At 38.9% G+C, this 21,921-nt stretch overlaps 1 annotated feature.

Moving 5' to 3' along the window:
- Positions 20,540-21,041: an enhancer, noted in NCBI's record as "H3K4me1 hESC enhancer chr13:91316129-91316630 (GRCh37/hg19 assembly coordinates)". NCBI's record gives its function as "activates a minimal SCP1, AML or CMV promoter by ChIP-STARR-seq in naive H9 embryonic stem cells {active_cell/tissue: H9 hESC(naive)}" and the evidence as "EXISTENCE:reporter gene assay evidence [ECO:0000049][PMID:30033119]".

Here is a 21,921-nt window from a genome sequence, read left to right on the forward strand (position 1 = left end):
TTCCCAACAGTCCGCCAAAGTCTTACCTCCTTCCAGCTTTAACCCAAAAGCCGAAGTCCAAAGTCTCATCTGAGACAAGGCAAATCCCTTCCACCTACGATCCCGTAAAGTCAAAAGAAAGTTAGTTACTTCCTAGATACAATGCAGGTACAGGCCTTGGGTAAATATACCCATTTCAAATGGGAGCGATTGGACAAAACAAAAGGACTACAGGCCCAAAGTCCGAATTCCAATAGGGCAGTCATTAAAGCTTAAAGTTTCAAAATTATCTCCTTTGACTCCATGTCTCACATCCAGGTCACACTGATGAAAGAGGTGGGCTCCTACAGCCTTGGGCAGCTTCGGCTCTTGGCTTTGCAGAGTACAACCCCTTTTCAGTTGCTTTTATGGGCTGATGTGGAGTGTCTGTGGCTTTTCCTGGTGCACTGGGCAAGCTGTCATGGATCTACCATTCTGGGGTCTGGAGGAGGGTGGCTCTATTCTCATAGCTCCCCTAGGCAGTGCCCCAGTGGGGACTCTGTCTGGGGGCTCCAACCTCATATATCCCTTCTCCACTGCGCTAGCAGAGGTTCTCCATGAGGGTCCCACCCTTGCAGCAAACTCTTCTACCTGGACATCCAGACATATTCATACATAGTTCAAAATCGAGGCCAGAGTTTCCAAACCTCAATTCTTGACTTCTGTGCACCTGCAGGCTCAACACCATGTGGAAGCTGCCAAGGCTTGGGCCTTGCACTCTCTGAAGCCACTGCCCAAGCTGTACATTGGCCCCTTTTAGCTATGGCTGGAGCAACTGGGATGCAGGGCCCCAAATCCTGAGGCTACACACAGCAGTGGGGCCCTGAACCAGGCCCAGGAAAACATTTTTTCCTTTTAGACCTCTGGGCCTGTGATGAGAGGGGCTGTCTCAAAGTCTTTGACGTTCCCTGGAGACATTTTCCCCATTGTCTTGGTGATTAGCATTTGGCTCCTCATTACGTATGCAAATTTCTGCAGCCAACTTGAATTTCTCCCCAGAAAATGGGTTTTTCTTTTCATCAGCCTGCAAATTTTTCAAAATTTTATGCTCTGCTTCCTCTCGAACACTTTGCCTTTTAGAAATTTCTTCCTTTAGATACTCTAAATCATCTCTCTCAAGTTCAAAATTCCACAGATCTCTAGAGCAGGGGTAAAATGTCACCAGTCTCTTTGCATAGCAAGAGTGACCTTCACTCCAGTTTGCAACTAGTTCCTTATCTCCATCTGAGACAACCTCAGCCTGGACTTTATTATCCATAACTCCATCAGCATTTTGGTTAAAGCCATTCAACAAGTCTCTAGGAAGTTCCAAACTTTCCCACATCTTCCTGTCTTCTGAGCCCTCGAAACTGCTCCAACCTCTGCCTGTTACCCAGTTCCAAAGTTGATTCCACATTTTCAGGTATCTTTACAGCAGCACCCAACTCAACTGGTACCAATTTACTGTATTAGTCTGTTCCCACACTGCTAATTAAGACATACCCAAGACTTGGTAATTTATAAAGGAAAGAGGTTTGTTCAATTGACTCACAGTTCCACATGGCTGTGGAGGCCTCACAATCATTGCAGAAGGCAAATGAGGAGCAAAGTCATGTCTTACATGGTGGCAGGCAAGTGAGCTTGTATAGGGGACCTCCCATGTATAAAACCATCAGACCTCCTGAGACTTATACACCACCACAAGAAAAGCATGTGGAAAACTGCCCCCATGATACAATTAACCCTACCTGCCCCTGCCCTTGACACATGGGGATTTACAATTCAAGGTGATATTTGAGTGGGGACACAGCCAAACCCTATTAGCAACTTACCATTTTCCAGCTATGAAGGAAAAGGTAAGGCCCAGATTCTAACACCAAGGGCACTAGGAGTCTACAGAGGCTAGTCACTGTTACTGAAAAGATCCTTTGACTCTATTAAATACATCTTGACTCCATCTTCTTTAATTCATGCCCACCGTTAACAACTTAGTCCAAGTCACCATCTTTCTGAACTTCCTCAGCAACTCCTAACTAATGCCTCATTGTCTGATCTTGCCCCTTTCTATTTCATCCTTCCATCTCAATCAATATTGTTTAAAATATGAATGTGATTATGTCCCTCCCTACACAAAATCTTCTCAGAACCTTCTGTTGCCCTTAAAACAAGACTGAACCCCTTCAATATGGCTCACAAGAGAGTTCACATTCTGAATTTGGCTCATGACTACTTCTCCACCATCATATCTCCAGAATCTTCTTCAATCTAAGTGACAGGTACTTCCAAGTAGTTTTTATTCCTCAAACACACCATGTCCTCTCTCATGACAAGAGCATGCCCTCTACATGCAACCTCCCTACCCCCAACATGCCCCCTCTGTTTGGCTTCTCTAGAGGGACAGAACTAATAGGATATATACATAGGATATATGTAGGATATATCCTATTAGTTATATATATCCTATATATATAGGATATACATATCTATATCTATGTCAATATCTATATCTATATCTATATATATATCCAATTAGTTCTGTCCCTATAGAGAACCCTAATACAATAGGATATTGTATTGGGATATATATAAGATCTAGTAGGATATATATATCCTATCAGTTCTGTCCCTTTAGATAATTCTAATACGGGGGAGTGTTGTATCCTATTAGCATGATATATATATATATATATATATATAGTCCTTTTAGGATGATAGCACTGAACAGGATACAAAAAAATTCTCCCTCTCTCATAAATATATATATATGTATATATGTATATATACATGTGATACTGATATGTATATATGTATACACACATATGATACATATATGTATACATGCACATATATGATATATGTGTCTATGTATATACGCACATATACATATATGATACATATATGTATCATCCTAATATATATAGGATTTTATATATATATATATATATATATATATATATGATAAGGAGAGTTTATTAAGTGTTAACTTACATGATCACAAGGTCCCACAATAGGCTGTCTGCAAGCTGAGGAGCAAGAAGAGCCAGTCCGAGCCCCAAAACTGAAGAACTTGGAGTCCGAGGTTCAAGGGCAGGAAGCATCCAGGACTGGAGGAAGATGTAGGCTGGGAGGCTAGGCCAGTCTCTCTTTTTCATGTTCTTCTGCCTGCTTTATATCCGCTGTCAGCTGATTAGATTGTGCCCAGCAGATTAATGGTGGATCTGCCTTCGCAGCCCGGGGACTCAAATGTTAATCTCTTTTGGCAACACCCTCACAGACACACCCAGGATCAATACTTTGTATCTTTCAACCCAATCAAGTTGACACTCGGTATTAATGATCACAGCCCCTAATCCTACCCTCAACACTCTCCTACACACTTTGTTTGTCTGTTTTTTCCAATGATACTTAATTTTCTGGCTTAAACTTTATAGGAAACACTTTTCCGATCCCAGAATATGTATTCTCCTGCTTTATAAGATGCACTAGCTCCACATATCCCCATTATATCATTAGTGACTCTGAATTCTTTATTAGATGCTAAGCACCCTGAGGGCAGCAACCATGTAATACCTTGCTAGTTACTCTTTTTTCAGTGCTAGCACTGAACAGGATGCAAAAAATCTCTCTCCCTCTCTCTCTCACATGCACACATGCACACAGATGCAAGCATACACAAATACATATACATATACATATACATATACACAAATACATGCACATGTATGCATAACCACTAACACAGGGAGGCTGGCACCATCCAATAAATTTATATGGTTCTTCCAGAATATGGTTATTAGTTAGATCAAATATTCTACTGGTAGACAAACAGGTACAAATCTTATTTGGCTATCACCAACAAATGAGACATTTCCTTACACTGACATGAGAAAGTGAGCTTAATAAATATTGCCTCTGATTTGTCAAAAACTGTTTAACATCTTATTGCCTGAAGGTTGTTTCTCTATATTTATTCAGGATCCCTCTAATTGCAAACATAGCATTGAGTTTGTTCTCCCTGCCTCTCATAAATTCCCCTATGTTGATATGTACTAAAATAAATATGTTATACTAAACTTCCAGTGCTATATTTTAAATAATATAAAGCAGCTTTTCTTAAATTAGCTGCATTTCATTAATTTTAAACATTAATGATTAAGAAAAATTCTGCTGGATTAGGCAGGCATGTAAGACAGTTCTTATCTTTTCATTTAACATTAAGAAGTATTATTTCACCCTCATAGCATCTAAGTGGAATTGTTTATTGCATGCTAAAGTATAACAAATGTATATTAAAAAGTTCAATGTTCACATATTCAAAATGAGAACATTTTGAAGTAAACATAATTATCTCAGTTTTGTTGCTAAATATTTTAATGGGATTCCACTGGCATATTCTAAATATTATAATCAGAGCATTAATCCAGATAGTTTATCTGATTGAAAGTCAATATTTTAAAATCCTGTTTCAATACAGATGATATCAAGAGAGTAACTTTCCCTTCAATCTACATAAAATAACAAAATGACAAATTAATTCTACTAAATTTGATTTGGTCTGTCTCTCTGTGCATTCAATATAGCATGCTGTGATTTCTGAAAGCAATACATTTCTAAACAGTGATTTTTATATTTTGTCAAAATTTATAGTATATTTTATGTATATCAAAGATTAAAATTAGTCACAATTTTGTTGTTGCTAAATAACATTCCTCAGAACTTTTTGAAAATAATTCAAAGTATTTAAATATTCATGGAAGAGTGTTATTCTTAACTCTGAAAAAGTCTCCATTTGTAATAGAGAAACATAGTTTTTGAATGCAATGATTAAAACATTCTGGAGAATTTCTTTTGCCTTTCCTATTCCATCTCTCATCATGTCTTGATGACTTGACAACAATTTCTTTTTTGTTGTCTCTGCCACTAATCTTGTGTCTTCATTGATTTTTGTTGCTATAAAGTAATACTTGAGGCTGGTATATAATGTGTAAAGAAAAGAGGTTTTTTTCTGGCTCGCAGTTCTGCAGGCTGCACTAGAAGCATGGTGCCAGCATCTGCTTCTGGTGAGGCCTCAAGGCAGAAGGGGAAGGGAGTCCAGAGATCACATGGTAAGAGAGAGGGAAAAGGTACTAGGTTCTTTTCAATAACCAGCTCATGGGGGAACAATCACAGAAACTAACAGAGAACTTACTCATTACCAGGAGGACAGCACCAAGCCATTCATGAGAGATTCACCCCCATAACCCAAACATCTCCCATTAGGCCCCACCTCCAACATTGGGGATTAAATTTCAACATGAGGTTCAGAGAATCAGATCTCCAACTATAGCATCTTGTTTCTTTCAGATCCCTCTAGGCACTATTTGTCTTGTCTCAAACAAAACCCTGATCATATCACTTTGTATATTTAAATTAGTGTGGTTTCCATTTGGCTACAACAGGAAGTTCAGACTTTTTAATATGGCATAAAAAGTCCTTCATAAACTTGTTTCTCACTACCTTTCCATGCAGCTTTCTGGGAACTTTATACAACTTTGAAAGTGGGATAGCTCAGAATTGGTGAATTCTGAGGCTCCATTTTAACCAGATGTATGGATACATTTCTGGGTGTTCAGCTTTTGGTCACACTAGGGCAACAGAGTTTCTATGCATTGTGTCCTTTTATAACATCATCCAAAGAAAGAAGATATGATTTTTCCTTGCATTTGTCTCCTTACCAGAAGAAGCCTTTTCATAGAAATCATACCTTTTATGCTTTCAGAAGAAAGTTTCATTGGCCAGCCAGGGTTACATGCCCATTCCTAAACTACTTACTAGTTGAAACAAATGCTAGTACAGTACTTCAATCAGTTTTAATATAATTGTGATTCATTCTCTGATGTGGTGGAGAAAACTACCTGTCTGGAATATATCGCCACCTGAACAAAATTAGGGTCAGATTCATTTGACAATAATAATGAAGGAATGGCTGTTGAGTACAGAAATAATAAGGTTTCTCAAATCCTATTATCAAATTTCTAAAAGTTTGGCAACGGGTTTCTCTGCCCACAAAACTCCTCTCTTTGCTGAGTTTATTTCTATCTGCCACTTCTTCACTTCAAATATCTGGTGTCTTATTTTATTCGTTCTATTGTTTTATGCATTTTCATTTGCAAATCAAATATTGAGACATTCAATTACATATGTCTACACAATTTGGAACAAGTATATTTAAGGTACCAAATCTTTCTGGTGAACTGACAGGTAATTATGAATTTAATGTTTTGTCTCAGTCATGTTAATTGTCTAAAATCCTTAGACTTCTTTAAGGTTGCTCCCAGAACCATCCATTTTTATATCAGGCTTCAGTTGCTTATCTTGCTATGCCTATATATCTTTCCTCTATCCCACTTCTACCTCTCCACTGGCAGCTGCCAGACCATCTCTTCTAACAAGGCTTCCCTGATTTTTCTTGTATTTTGTCTTCCTATTCAACGCTTCCCAGATACATTGCACATATTTTTGTCATTGTTGTCATGTGTTTTTAAAATTATATTCTTTTGGGCCTTATCAAACAGACTATATGATACTTAAGGACATGGATTATGTCTTTCTTACTTTATAACAATAAACATCTGTGGATTGAATGAATGGATGAATGGATGTAATGGATCTACTTCAGTAATCTTATTCACGGAAAAAAAAAACAAATCTCAAGAGTTTATGATGTACCTCTATTATTAATTTTGAAGTGCAATTAATGTATGGAGTTTGAGACATTTATGTAAAATGCTTATTAGCCCCCAATCTCTCTAGGCTATATAATGTAATAGAAAATATGTCACTTTTTCTTGCAACTTTTAAAAGGTGGTATATAATATCTAAACACAAACTTTATAATACCAGTGCTTGCCAATGCTAAAAATAGTGATTTGAAAATAACTGTTTAATTATTCATCTTTCCACCCATTAAGAACATTAATTAAATTCATTATTTCTACAGTAGTTATGCCAGGTTATTGCAATCTTAATACTACAGGCAGGTTTTCTTAAGTATATGTTAGTTACTGGCTATTACTAGAATTCCTTACCCTATATACCAGAATTCCTCCTTCTGCTAGTCTATTTTTAGATGTCTTTTATCCTTTTTTAGAATGTAATGGGATAATTACAACAACATAACAAAACAAACACAGCAAAATATTATATGTTATATATTACAAAATAATACAATATATGCCAAAGCATATTGTTAGCACTTTATATGCACCAACTCATTTAACTTCACACCACATTCTAAAATAGATATAATCCACACTTTAAGATGAGGACTGGGGCACCTTACCCAAAGTTACACAACTAGTTAGTGGCTTCGTCAGGATTCAAAAAAAGGCATTTTGCCTCAAGAGGATAGTAAATGCCTCTAATAATTAAGTTGTATATTTAGTTGAAGAGAAAGTAAGGAATAAAGTTATTATTGCACCCCAGAATGAAGCAAGAATAGAAGGCTTAGAAAATAATTAAGAGACATTTCTCTCTTGATCTTTGATGGTGCTTAATAAAACCAATTTATTTAATAATGTCACTTCCAAATTCATACACCTTCAGTGACTTCACATTACCTTCAGGTTAAAATCCAAATTCATAACAGGACATTCAAAATGACCTATAATACAACCCCATTCAGCTTTCTCAGAATTATCTCTAGGTAATATGCCAAAGCTGTCTTTGTTGTTAGAGGAATGTAAAGTAAAATGAAGAGGCACAGACTTTGACTTCAGACTGATCTAAGATAAATCGTGGCTAAATTGTTACACTGATCATCCTGCTTAAAGGTTTCTTATCACAATATTCTCATCTTTAAAAAGAAGTGTTTTTTACTATGTCTTGAGGGGTTGGGAAGATTGTTAATATGGTTTTGCTGTGTCTTCACACCCAAATCTCGTCTTGAATACCCATGTGTTGTGGGAGGAACCTGGTGGGAGGTAATTGAATCATGGGGGCAGGTCTTTCCCATGCTGTTTTTATGATAGGAATAACTCTCAGGAGATCTGGTGGTTTTAAAAATAGGAGTTTCCCTACACAAGCTCTCTTCTCTTGTCTGCTGCCACGTGAGATATGCCTTTTACTTTCGACCATGATTGTGAGGCCTCCCCAGCCACATGGAACTGTAAGTCCATTAAGCCTCTTTCTTTTATAAATTGCCCAGTCGCAGGTATGTCTTTATCAGCAGTGTGAAAATGAACTAATAGAGTAAATTATACCAGTAGAGTGGGGTGCTACTGAAAAGATGACTGAAAATGTGGAAGTGACTTTGGAACTGGGTAATAGGCAGAGGTTGGAACAATTTGGAGGGCTCAGAAGAAGACAGGAAAATGTGGCAAAGTTTGAAACTCCCTACAGACTTGTTGAATGGCTTTGACCAAAATGCTGATAATGATGTGGACAATGACATTCAGGCTGAGGTGGTCTTAGATGGAGATGAGGAACTTGTTGGGAATTGGAGCAAAGGTGACTCTCATTATGTTTTAGGAAAGAGACTGACAGCATTTTGCCCCTGCCCTAGAGATCAGTGGAACTCTGAACATGAAAAAGATGAATTAGGGTATCTGGTGGAAGAAATTTCTAAGCAGCAAAGCGTTCAAGAGGTGACATGGGTGCTGTTAAAGGCATTTATGTCTAAAAGGGAAACAGAGTATAAAAGTTTGAGAAATATGCAGCCTGACAATCCAATAGAAAAGAAAGTCCCATTTTCTGGGGAGAAATTCAAGCTGGATGCAGAAATTTGCATAAGTAACAAGGAACTGAATGGTAATCACTAAGACAATGGGAGAAATGTCTCCAGGGCATGTCAGAGACCTTTGTGACAGCCCCTCCCATCACAGGCCTGGGGGTTTAGGAGGAAAAAATGATTTTGTGGGCCAGGTTTCAGGTCCCTCTGCTGTGTGCAGTCTAGGGACTTGGTACCCTACATCCCAGCCACTCCAGCTATGACTAAATGGGGCCAAGGTACAGCTCAAGCTGTTGCTTCAGAGGGTGAAACTCTAAGCCTTGGCAGCTTCCATGTGATGTTGAGCCTGTGGGTGCAGTGAAGTCAAGAATTGAGATTTGGGAACCTCTGCCAGTCTTACAAAGGATGTATGGAAATGCCTCCATGTCCAGGAAGAAGTTTGCTGCAGGAGCAGGGCCCTCATGGAAAACTTCTGCTAGGGCAGTATGGAAAGGAAATGTGGAGTCAAAGCCCCCAGAGAGAGTTTCTACTGGAGTACCACCTACTAGAGCTGTGAGAAGAGGGCCACCATCCTCCAGACCCCAGAATGGTAGACTCACCAACAGCTTGCACCATGTGCCTGGAAAAGCCAGACACTCAACACCAGTGAAAGCAACAAGGAGGTGGGGGGCTATACCCTGCAAAGCCACAGGGACAGAGCTGCCCAAGTCCACGGGAACACATCTTTGCAACAGTGTGACCTGGATGTGAGACATGGAGTCAAAGGAGATCATTTTGGGGCTTTAAAATTTCATTGCCCCACTGAATTTCAGAATTGCATGGGGTCTGTATCCCCTTTGTTTTGGCCAATTTCCCCCATTTTGAATGGCTGTATTTACCCAATGTTTGTATCTCCATTGTATCTAGGAAGTAACTAGCTTGCTTTTGATTTTACAGGCTCATAGGTGGAAGGTACTTGCCTTGTCTCAGATGAGACTTTAGATTGTGGGCTTTTGAGGTAATGCTAAAATGAATTAAGACTTTGCGGCACTGTTGGGAAGGCATTATTGGTTTTGAAATGTGAGAACATGAGATTTGGAAGGAATAATATGGGAGGGGCCTGGCGAGAGGTAACTGAATCATGGGGGCAGGTCTTTCCCATGGTATTCTTATGATAGTGATGAAGTCTCAGGAGATCTGATGGTTTTAAAAATGGGAGTTTTCCCTGCACAAGTCTCTTCTCTTGTTTTCTGCCATATGAGAGATGCCTTTCACCTTCTGCCATGATTATGAGACCTTCCCAGACATGTGGAGCTGTAAGTCCACTACATCTCTTTCTTTTGTAAATTGACCAATCTCGGGTGTGTCTTTATTAGCAGTGTGAAAAAGGACTAACACTATTGTGTACAGGAGCTGTTACAGGAGCATCAGTCTTTTTCTGGTCCCTTCCCAGAAATTGTGTCCAAGCAGCATTCCTGAATGCAAATGTACTTCCATGGTTAGGGTACCTATTTCAAAGATAATTAATCCGTTCTCCAAAGCACTCTGGAAACCACTTCATTGCATAGTGCGTCTATCCTACTTGTGAACCATTGCAGTGTTTCTTACCTAAACTGCTTACATGATAGTTATGCAATGGTTTTCCATATTTTGCTTTTTACTTTACATTTTCATTTCTTTTCTACTATGTAAATTTTCAATTTTTTATTCATAATTTAATTTTGAAAATGAGGACAGGAGATATGGAGTGTGGGAATTTTTAAAGAATACTTAAACGTTAGACCTAAAACCATAAAAACCCTAGAAGAAAACCTAGGCATTACCATTCAGGACATAGGCATGGGCAAGGACTTCATGTCTAAAACACCAAAAGCAATGGCAACAAAAGACAAAATTGACAAATGGGATCTAATTAAACTAAAGAGCTTCTGCACAGCAAAAGAAACTACCATCAGAGTGAACAGGCAACCTACAAAATGGGAGAAAATTTTCGCAACCTACTCATCTGACAAAGGGCTAATATCCAGAATCTACAATGAACTCAAACAAATTTACAAGAAAAAAACAAACAACCCCATCAAAAAGTGGGTGAAGGACATGAACAGACACTTCTCAAAAGAAGACATTTATGCAGCCAAAAACACATGAAAAAATGCTCATCATCACTGGCCATCAGAGAAATGCAAATCAAAACCACAATGAGATACCATCTCACAACAGTTAGAATGGCGATCATTAAAAAGTCAGGAAACAACAGGTGCTGGAGAGGATGTGGAGAAATAGGAACACTTTTACACTGTTGGTGGGACTGTAAACTAGTTCAACCCTTGTAGAAGTCAGTGTGGCGATTCCTCAGGGATCTAGAACTAGAAATACCATTTGACCCAGCCATCCCATTACTGGGTATATACCCAAAGGACTATAAATCATGCTGCTATAAAGACACATGCACACGTATGTTTATCGCGGCACTATTCACAATAGCAAAGACTTGGAACCAACCCAAATGTCCAACAATGATAGACTGGATTAAGAAAATGTGGCACATATACACCATGGAATACTATGCAGACATAAAAAAGGATGACTTCATGTCCTTTGTAGGGACATGGATGAAATTGGAAATCATCATTCTCAGTAAACTATCACAAGAACAAAAAACCAAACACCACATATTGTCACTCATAGGTGGGAATTGAACAATGAGAACACATGGACACAGGAAGGGGAACATCACACTCTGGGGACTGTTGTGGGGTGGGGGGAGGGGGGAGGGATAGCTTTAGGAGATATACCTAATGCTAAATGACGAGTTAATGGGTGCAGCACACCAGCATGGCAAATGTATACATATGTAACTAACCTGCACATTGTGCACATGTACCCTAAAATTTAAAGTATAATAAAATAAAATAAAATAAAATAAAATAAAGAATACTAATAATAAAATAACATATTGAAAACAGAGAGGAGATGGTTCATTTGACCTATTTTTTTGCTATATTATAAATCTTGCCTTTAAATACGTAGAAATTTTAAAGGTGTTTTTGTAGAAAGAAATTATTGACCACTCACCATTTTCCAGAGACTATGTTAATTATTGTTATTTATAATTATTATTATAATTATTGTTATTTAATCCAAACAACCACCTCATGAGTTTGGCATTGAGTCCATGTTTAAATTCAAGGTAACTGAGATTCAGAGAGATTAAGTAACCCCTTGTATTCATATAGATGAAAACAAGTGCCCCCAAAGAAGGGTTGTGAAAAAATGGGAAGTTGATTGAATATGCACATGTGGGAAATGACAAATAAACTGTATGTAAAGCAGCATCATTTATCAGATTGAGGTCATAGCTAATGTAGGATCATTTTGTAGAATTAATAATAAAGTTTAGGTCAACGTATGGTTAAATTATGGTGAAAATATAAGAATTAAGGTGAATAGATTAATCATTATTATTACTACTAATATGTATTCAAATTAACAATTATAAGTAGAATTGTTTATCCTTGTGTCTAAGTATTACAGGATCTCTGCTAAGTACTGTACCTCTGTTATATCACTTCACACTCAAAAGTCACTGATAGTAAGTACTGATACTATCTTAATTTATCCAGCATGAAAACTAAGACAAATATTAACTAAATTGCTTGAGGTTAAAAGACTACAAAGTGGTAGAGTCAAGAATTACAATATTAAAAATGAATTTGGTTTATAGGTACTCAAAACTGGTAAATCTCAACCTATACTGCCTCGTAATACTTTAGGTTATGGTTCATAAAGGATGGCATAAGAAAATAAAATGGCAAAAAAATACGGCATGGCTTACCTGTGTGCTATATTTTACACTATCAATTTAGCCAAGGGGCATGGTTCACTTCTACTCTCACCACCAAAAATGATTATAAAATTTAACAAAGAAAACCAAAATATCTAAGAAAGAATGGGTTGGGGATGTGTGGGTGTGTACATACAATCACACATGCAAGACTATATATAAGGTTGTAAGTGTCACTGTTTAGTTTATTTGTTATAGTCATAGCATAACATGTTAGCCGACTTACTAGAATGTAGAACTCATGAGGAAAGGTATTTTCATCTGTTCAATGTTGTGGCTTCATTGCCTAGACAGGTGCTTGGAACTTAGCAAATATTCAAAAAGTGTTGAAATAAATGCGTTTGATGTAGGTGAAGTAACCATTATTTTTTTCTCTAGCATTTTCTGTATAATCCCACAGAATATGATTATGCACAGTGCTGTCATATAGTGGCTAAAACAGTGCATTTTACACAGCACTGCATTGATTTGCTGAAACCATGAAAAATGAGACAAACTATATTTAGAGTGTAGACCATTAATATAAAGAGAGGAAAGGCTGTGAGTTTATTAGAAAAGGCAATCCTAAATTTATGAAAATAAAAAGGAATATATTCAAATTTTTTTTCATTTTCAAGATGTACAGAAGAAAATTTATTTCAGCTGTGACTGGTCATTATTTAACTAACGAATAGAAGATATATTTTATCTACTCCTCAACAAATTAATGTGTACTTAGGCTCCAGGCTTGTGATTGTGTCATGCTACGTGGCCTACTAATGACCCCTAGAAATACTGCTTTTTAGTAAATGCAATATTTAAGCCAGGCATCATGCTAGTTAATTTGCATATATAATTTTATTTACTCTTCAAAATAGAACAATATGGAAAGTATTATTAATCTCATTTTATACATGAGGAAACCAGGGTTGAGAAATTCAGGTTTTTCTTCCCCCAGAACCCAGGTTCTATCGCAGTACTCCATAATATTTTGTGTAGAAATCACCTAAAGGTTTCGAAAGATCCAGGTCTGGGATTCAGCCTGACATTTGAGATTTCATCAATCTCAGAGGTGATACTGCTACTGCTGGTTGTTGACCATACTTCAAGAAATAAGGTTCTAAATCACCAAACTATATTGCATCCAAGGATTTTGTGACAGGTATGCATGTGTGAGTATGCTTCTATTCCATAAAACCTATTTATAAGAAATGCAATTGAAAACACAAGGATATCAAGAAAATCTCAGACAAATTTAAGTAGAATCAACCAGACTATCATCAATAACCAGACTATTCAATAATGTAATTTAGGTTTGGGCAATATCCATAGCCCATATCATTAACATTGATTTCAATGTCAAACATTATGTACATACACACTCTCCTATTGGTGTCATAAATAACCTATAAAAGCTTGGAGATCTTTGCATAGAAGCTCTTTATATATTGAAGATTTTTTAAAAATATTACATGCTCTTTTGCTATCAGAATAAAATACAAGCAATTTTATAACAAAAACATAAAATTATATGTTTGCATTTGTTACCACTTGCTTTCTTCCATGGCCAATTTACTTGTATTTTTGTTTATCTGTGTATATAACTGACAAACAGTTATTAAGAGAATTTATGTTGTTAACATAACAGCAAATAATAATGATTATTGTTATTTTTGAGAGAGAGTCTTCCTGTCTCACCCACGCTGGAGTGCAGTGGCACAACCGTGGCTCACTGCAACCTTGACTTCCCAGGCTCAAACAATTCTCCTGCCTCAGTCTCCTGAGTAGCTGGGACTATAGGCACACACCACGAAGCCCAGCTAATTTTTTTTATGTTTTTTGGGTAGAGATGGGTTTAACCCTGTTGCCCAGCCTGGTGTCAAATTCCTGGGTTGAAGCAATCCACCTGGCAAATAATTTTTTTCAGTGTTTGCACTATGAAGTTTTTTACTGCCATCCAACATTTTCCTGATGTATGTTGATGCATGCCTTCCATGACAGTTATAAATTTTATTGATAGGTGAAAGAAAACCCTTTCAGAGCTAAGGAAACACAAAAAACTGGCAATAATTTTCATAATTGGAGAAGCACTGCTTTAAAAATTATGACAACACAAATAGGCTAAATAAAGCGTTGATTATCTCTGTCTTTAAGACTGAAATTAATTGTAATCAAATCTCTAGTGGTGTTATATTTCATCTGTAGTAACTCAAAAACAGTTGATTTGGAAATGAAATAGTATCATAACAGTAAAGAAATAATAAAACATCACATGCATCCACAATCAAAATAGTGCATCTCATTTCTGGTTTTATAAAACACGCTTTGCTCTACATCCTCAGAATACTTTTTACTCTATTGAAATATCAAATATCAATTGTCAATCCAAGATGACTGATTAGAAGCATCTGCGTTGGCAGCACTCACGGAGAGGAATGAAAAGGGGCAAGTGAATTCAGCACCATCAACTGAAATATCCAAATTCTCGCACTGGGACTGACTAGGCAAACAAATTGATTCACGGAGAATGAAGAAAAGCAGGGGGTAGGGGCATAGAGCCAAAGGAACCCCCATCCTCAGCCAAGGGAAACAGTGAGTGATTGTGTAGATACATCCAGGAAGCCACGCTTCTCCCACACATCTTTGCAACCCGTGGATCAGGAGATCCCCTCGTGAGCCCATGCCACCAGGACCTTGGGTCCCATACACAGAGCTACGTGGAGTCTCAGCAGAGCAGCCACTCAGGCGCACACAGAGACCCAAGAGTTTTACATACTCTAGCCCTGGGATCCCTGGTGAGGTGGGCAATCTGTCTCTACATATCCCTAGGAAGGGAGCTGAATCCAGGGAGCCGATCAGCATTGTTCTGTGGGCCTCACTTTCACAGCACCTCACAAGTTAAGACCCACTGGCTTGGAATTTCAGCCAGCCAACAGCAACAGGCTGGAATCTGCCTGAGATGCGTCCAAGTTCCTGGTGGAAGGAGCAGCCACCATCTCTGCAGTTTGGTAGATCCAGCTGTTCCAGCTTGCCAGCTTTGGAGAATACAAATGGTCCGAATAAGGCAGGGTCTCCCAGAACGCAGCACAGTTGCCTTGCCAGATCGTGGCCAGACTGCTTCCTTAAGTGGGACCTCAATCCATTCCTCCTCACTGGGTAGGACCTCCCTCCCTGCCGGGGGCTTTGGCCACTCCAGCCAGGGTTCTACAGGTAGAACTCTGATCTCTCCCTAGGACGAAGCTCCCAGGGGCAGGGCTAGGGGGTGGCCACAATCTCTGAGGTTTGGTGCACTCAGCTGTTCCAGCCTGTTGGCTTTGAGGAATACAAATGGTTTGGATGAAAAAGAGTGCCTCCCAACACAGCACACCTACTCTACCAAAAAATAACCTTTCTGCTTCTTTAAGTGAGTCCCTAATCCGTTCCTCCTGACTGGGTGACATCTGACAACAGGCGTCTCCAGTCACCTCCTACAGGTGTGTTCAGGCCAGAAACATGTCAGTATGACCCTGGGAAGGAGCTTCCAGAGGAAAGAGAGCTGGCTGCCATCTTTGCTGTTTGACAGACTTCACTGGTGATACCTCCAGGTTCAGGGAAAACCAAGGCAACTGGGGTCTGGAGCAGACTCCCAGCAAACCACAGCATCCCTCCAGTAGAGTGGCCTGACTATTAAAAATAAACACACATAAAACAATAACAATAACACAACAAAAAAGACCCCATAAAACCTCATTCGAAGATGAGCCACCTCAAAGAAGGTAGATAAAACCACAAAGATGAGAAAGAATCAATTAAAAAACAGTGATCAATGTGCAAAAATTGCTAGCATTTCTATACACTAACAAAAGGCAAGCAGAGAGCCAAATCATGAATGAACTCCCATTCATAATTTCTGTAAAAAAATAAAATACCTAGGAATGCAGCTTAAAAGGGAAGTGAAGGACCTCTTCCAGGAGAACTACAAGCCAGTACTGAAAGAAATCAGAGAGGACGCAAGCAAATCGAAAAACATTCCATGCTCATGGCTGGGAAGAATCAATATCATGACAATGGCCATACTGCCCAAAGTAATTTATATATTCAATGGTATCCCCATTAAACTATTTTCTAATAGTTTAATCCTTACAGAATTAGAAAAAACTATTTTAAAATTTATGTGGAATCAAAAAAGAGTCCAAATAGCCAAGACAATCCTAAGCAAAAAAAAACACAAAGCTGGAGGCATCATGCTACCCAACTTCAAACTATACTACAAGGATACAGTAACCAAAACAGCATGGTACCAGTACAAAAACAGACACATAGACCAATGGAACAGACTAGAGATCTCAGAAATAAGGACATACACTTATAACCATCTGATCTTTGACAAACCTGAAAAAAACAGGCAATGGGGAAAGGATTCCCTATTTAATAAATGATCATGAGAGAACTGGCTAGCCATATGTAGAAAATTAAAACTGGACCACTTTCTTACATCATATACAAAAATTAACTCAAGATGGATTAAATACTTAAATTTAAAACTCAAAGCTATAAAAACCCTAGAAGAAAATCTAGGCAATACCATTTAGGACATAGGCACGGGCAAAATACTTTATGGCAAAAATGCCAAATACAATTGCAACAAAAGCAAAAATTGACAAATGAGATCTCATTAAACTAAAAAGCTTCTGCATGGCAAAATAAACTATCATCAGAGTGAATAGAGAACCTACAGAATGGAAGAACATTTTTGCAATCTATTAATCTGACAAAGGTCTAATATCCAGAGTCTACAAGGAACTTAAACAAATATACAAGAAAATACATAACCTCATGAAAAAGTGGGAAAAGGACAGAAGACATACATATGGTCAACAACGATAGAAAAAAATCTCAACATCACTGATAGAGAAATACAAATCAAAACCACAATGAGACACCATCTCACATCAGTCAGAATGGCTATTAGTAAAAGGTCAAAAAAACAACAGATGCTGTCAAGGTTGTGGAGAAAAAGGAACATTTTTACACTGTTGGTGGGAGTGTTAATTAGTTCAACCAGTGCGGAAGACAGTGTGGTGATTCCTCAAAGACCTAGAGGCAGAAATGCCATTTGATGCAGTAATCCCATATATACCCAAAGGAATATAAACCATTCTGTTCTGAAGATACATGGACATGTATCTTCATTGCAGCATTATTCACAATGGTAAAGTTATGGAATCAACCTAAATGCCCATCAATGATAGACTATAAAGAAAATATGGTACACATACACCATAGATTACTATGCAGCCATAAAAAGGAATGAGATCAAGTCCTTTGCAGGGACATGGATGCAGTGGGAAGCCATTATCCTCAGCAAACTAATACAGAAACAGCAAACCAACCCTGCATGTTCTCACTTATAAGTGTGAACTGAATGAAGAGAACACATGGATACATGGTGGGTAACAGTGCACACTGGGGCCTGTTGTGAGGGGTGTTGTGGGAGGGAGAGCATCAGAAAGAATAGCTAATGGATTCTGGGCTTAATACTTGGGTGATGGAATAATCTGTGCAGCAAACCACCATGGCACATATTTACCTATGTAACAAACCTGCACATCCTCCACATGCACCCCTGAACTTAAAAATTGAAGGGGAAAAAAAAGATTGAAAAAAGTTTGGCCAGGCACAGTGTCTCACACTTGTAATCCCAATCTTTTGGGAGGCTGAGGTGGGAAGACTGCTTGAGTCCAGGAGTTTTAGACCAACCTGAGGCCAAGGCTGCAGTGAGCTTTGTTTGCACCACTGCACTCCCACCTGGGTGACAGAGCGAGACGGTGTCTCAAAAATATAAAAATAAATAAATAAATAAACAAAATTTTAGCTAAAAATTTCTAGAAAGAAATATCAAATCTCAAAATTTAAGCAAATTCTTAATTTTTTGACAATAGTTTGGCAGAATACTCACATTAATGCAACTCATATAACACATGATCATTGGGATAAACGTTTTTCTAAGGATTGTAAAAAGTATCTGTGTATTTCCAACTTAAGAGTGGCATTAAATGTTAAAACAGGAAACTCACATTATGTTAAAGATGAACTTATTTATATTTTCTATATTGGGACATCACAGACTATTTTTGGATTATCTAAAATGTTACTCTCTAAACTGACTTTTATATTTGCTGAATATTGAAATGCTCTGCACATGGATTCTAACTTTAAAAGGTTTAAAAGTGAAAGCAAAAAATATATGAGTAATATTCATGAAATATGACAAAATAAAGCGCAACTCTTTCATTATAGTTAAAATATTTTTATTTTATTTTATTTTATTTTTTTAATTTTGTGAGACAGAGTCTTTCTCTGTTGCCCAGGCTAGAGTGTAGCAGCGCAATCTCGGCTCACTGCAACCTCCGCCTCCCAGGTTCAAGCGATTCTCCTGCCTTAGCCTCCTGGGTAGCGGGGATTACAGGCATGCACCACCATGCCAGCTAGTTTTTGTATTTTTAGTAGGGACAGGGTTTGTCCGTGTTGGCCAGGCTGTTCTCGAACTCCTGACCTCAGGTGATCCGCCTGCCTCGGCCTCCCAAAGTGCTGGGATTATAGGTGTGAGCCACCGCGCCGGCCAGTTAAAAGATTTTTTAAATAATAATGTCTCGTTTTTAAAGAAAAAAACTTTTAAAATTAAGAAAAAGTTGTAATATCTGCTAAAATAAATAAGATACATTAAGTTCAGTACTTCTGAATCACTTGCATAATGTTCAAACAAATTATCTTTAAAATAATTCTGGATAGCAGACTAACACTAGTAAATGTATGTCAAATGGCTCTTAGTTCCAGGCACTGTTCTAGAAATATTAGACTGGTAAAAATAGAAAGATCATACAGTTAGAATCAGAAAAAAATAATGGCTTCTCTCTGCATGTTTTAGCCAACTTAATCTGTGTCTGTGTCTTATTATGTTATTGCTAATATAAAGACAATGATACCAATTTCAAAGGGCCAGCATGAGAATTGAATAAGTACATGTTAACCTTAATTCTAAACAAGTAACACCCCTAAGAAAACTTACATTGTAAACACTTAACAAAACCCAAATTTTTTCTTGAACTGTTATTTACTATATGAGTATAGAAGATAGATCTTTACTTTTTCTGGGAAAAAAATAAAAATATAAAAGATCTTTGCAAAGGGTCCTCATCTTTGCTCAGGTGAGCTTAGTAAATTTCATGGCACCATTGTAAGGGCACTGAAGAAGCACAGTTGTCATCACACCTGCACCTTTGTGATTTTTTTTTTTTGGATGGAGTATCACTCTGTCACCCAGGCTGGAGTGCAGTGGCATGATCTTGGCTCACTGCAATCTCTGCCTCCTGGGTTCAAGTTATTCTCCTGCCTCAGCCTCCTGACTGGCTGGGATTACAGGTGTGTGCCCCCATGCTTGGCTAATTTTTTGTATTTTTAGTAGAGATGGGGTTTCACTGTGTTAGCCAGGGTGGTCTTGATCTCCTGACCTATTGATCCACCCGCCTCGGCCTTCCAAAGTGCTGGGATTACAGGAGTGAGCCACTGCACCTGGCCACCTTTGTGAATTTTTAGCCCTTTGCCTTCCTGCTTCGGTTACTTCATTGCTTTTTTTCAGGTTCTTGCCTTAATTAGACCAGAACTCATCAACTAACTTATGAATGCTGATATATGAATAAAAAAGGCAACAGTGTGATTGTGGATCAGTAATTTTATCCTGACTTTTTAGCATCCTCAAGATCTTAAGATGCACACTAGAATCTGAGAGGTCCTGGTCAATTGTACCATCATTATACGTAGAAATTATGTTCTGAATTCTACTTGAGTGTTGGTGACTGGGATCACAAAACCCAGGAGAAAATTTTAAGAACTCCATATTTCCTTAATTTGCTATCAGTAAATTGAAATTTATGAAACTGTTATCTGACCCTTGTGGCCAAACATAAATGGCAATTTCTTATATTCAATCTGATAAAAGAATCATCCTATGTCTTTTTGCTTAGGACCTTTGAAAGCCCTGAAAGATGTCACTGGCCATGATCTAAAGCACTTTCCCAACAGAAGACACCATGGATTAAAATGAGCAAGAAAGGAGGGAGAAGGTTAGAGAACATGTTTTCCATGCAAAAGCCTGCAGGACGGGGGGAGGAGCCAAGATGGCCGAATAGGAACAGCTCCGGTCTACAGCTCCCAGCGTGAGCGACGCAGAAGACGGGTGATTTCTGCATTTCCATCTGAGGTACCGGGTTCATCTCACTAGGGAGTGCCAGACAGTGGGCGCAGGTCAGTGGGTGCGCGCACCATGTGCGAGCCGAAGCAGGGCAAGGCATTGCCTCACTCGGGAAGCGCAAGGGGTCAGGGAGTTCCCTTTCCTAGTCAAAGAAAGGGGTAATGGATGGCACCTGGAAAATCGGGTCACTCCCACCCGAATACTGCGCTTTTCCGATGGGCTTAAAACACGGTGCACCAGGAGATTATATCCCGCACGTGGCTCGGAGGGTCCTACGCCCATGGAGTCTCGCTGATTGCTAGCACAGCAGTCTGAGATCAAAGGGCAAAGCGGCAGCAAGGCTGGGGGAGGGGCGCCCGCCATTGGGTCAGGCTTGCTTAGGTAAACAAAGCAGCCTGGAAGCTCGAACTGGGTGGAGCCCACCACAGCTCAAGGAGGCCTGCCTGCCTCTGTAGGCTCCACCTCTGGGGGCAGGGCACAGACAAACAAAAAGACAGCAGTAACCTCTGCAGACTTAAATGTCCTTGTCTGACAGCTTGGAAGAGAGCAGTGGTTCTCCCAGCACGCAGCTGGAGATCTGAGAACAGGCAGACTGCCTCCTCAAGTGGGTCCCTGACCCCTGACTCCCGAGCAGCCTAACTGGGAGGCACCCCCCAGCAGGGGCAGACTGACACCTCACACGGCCGGGTACTCCAACAGACCTGCAGCTGAGGGTCCTGTCTGTTAGAAGGAAAACCAACAAACAGAAAGGACATCCACACCAAAAACCCATCTGTACATCACCACCATCAAAGACCAAAAGTAGATAAAACCACAAAGATGGGGAAAAAACAGAGCAGAAAAACTGGAAACTCTAAAAGGCAGAGCGCCTCTCCTCCTCCAAAGGAACGCAGTTCCTCACCAGCAACGGAACAAAGCTGGACGGAGAATGACTTTGACGAGCTGAGAGAAGAAGGCTTCAGACGATCAAATTACTCCGAGCTATGGGAGGACATTCAAACCAAAGGCAAAGAAGTTGAAAACTTTGAAAAAAATTTAGAAGAATGTATAACTAGAATAACCAATACAGAGAAGTGCTTAAAGGAGCTGATGGAGCTGAAAACCAAGGCTCGAGAACTACATGAAGAATGCAGAAGCCTCAGGAGCTGATGCGATCAACTGGAAGAAAGGGTATCAGTGATGGAA

The sequence above is a fragment of the Homo sapiens genome, chromosome 13, assembly GCF_000001405.40.
Source record: "Homo sapiens chromosome 13, GRCh38.p14 Primary Assembly".
NCBI classification, from domain to species: domain Eukaryota; kingdom Metazoa; phylum Chordata; class Mammalia; order Primates; family Hominidae; genus Homo; species Homo sapiens.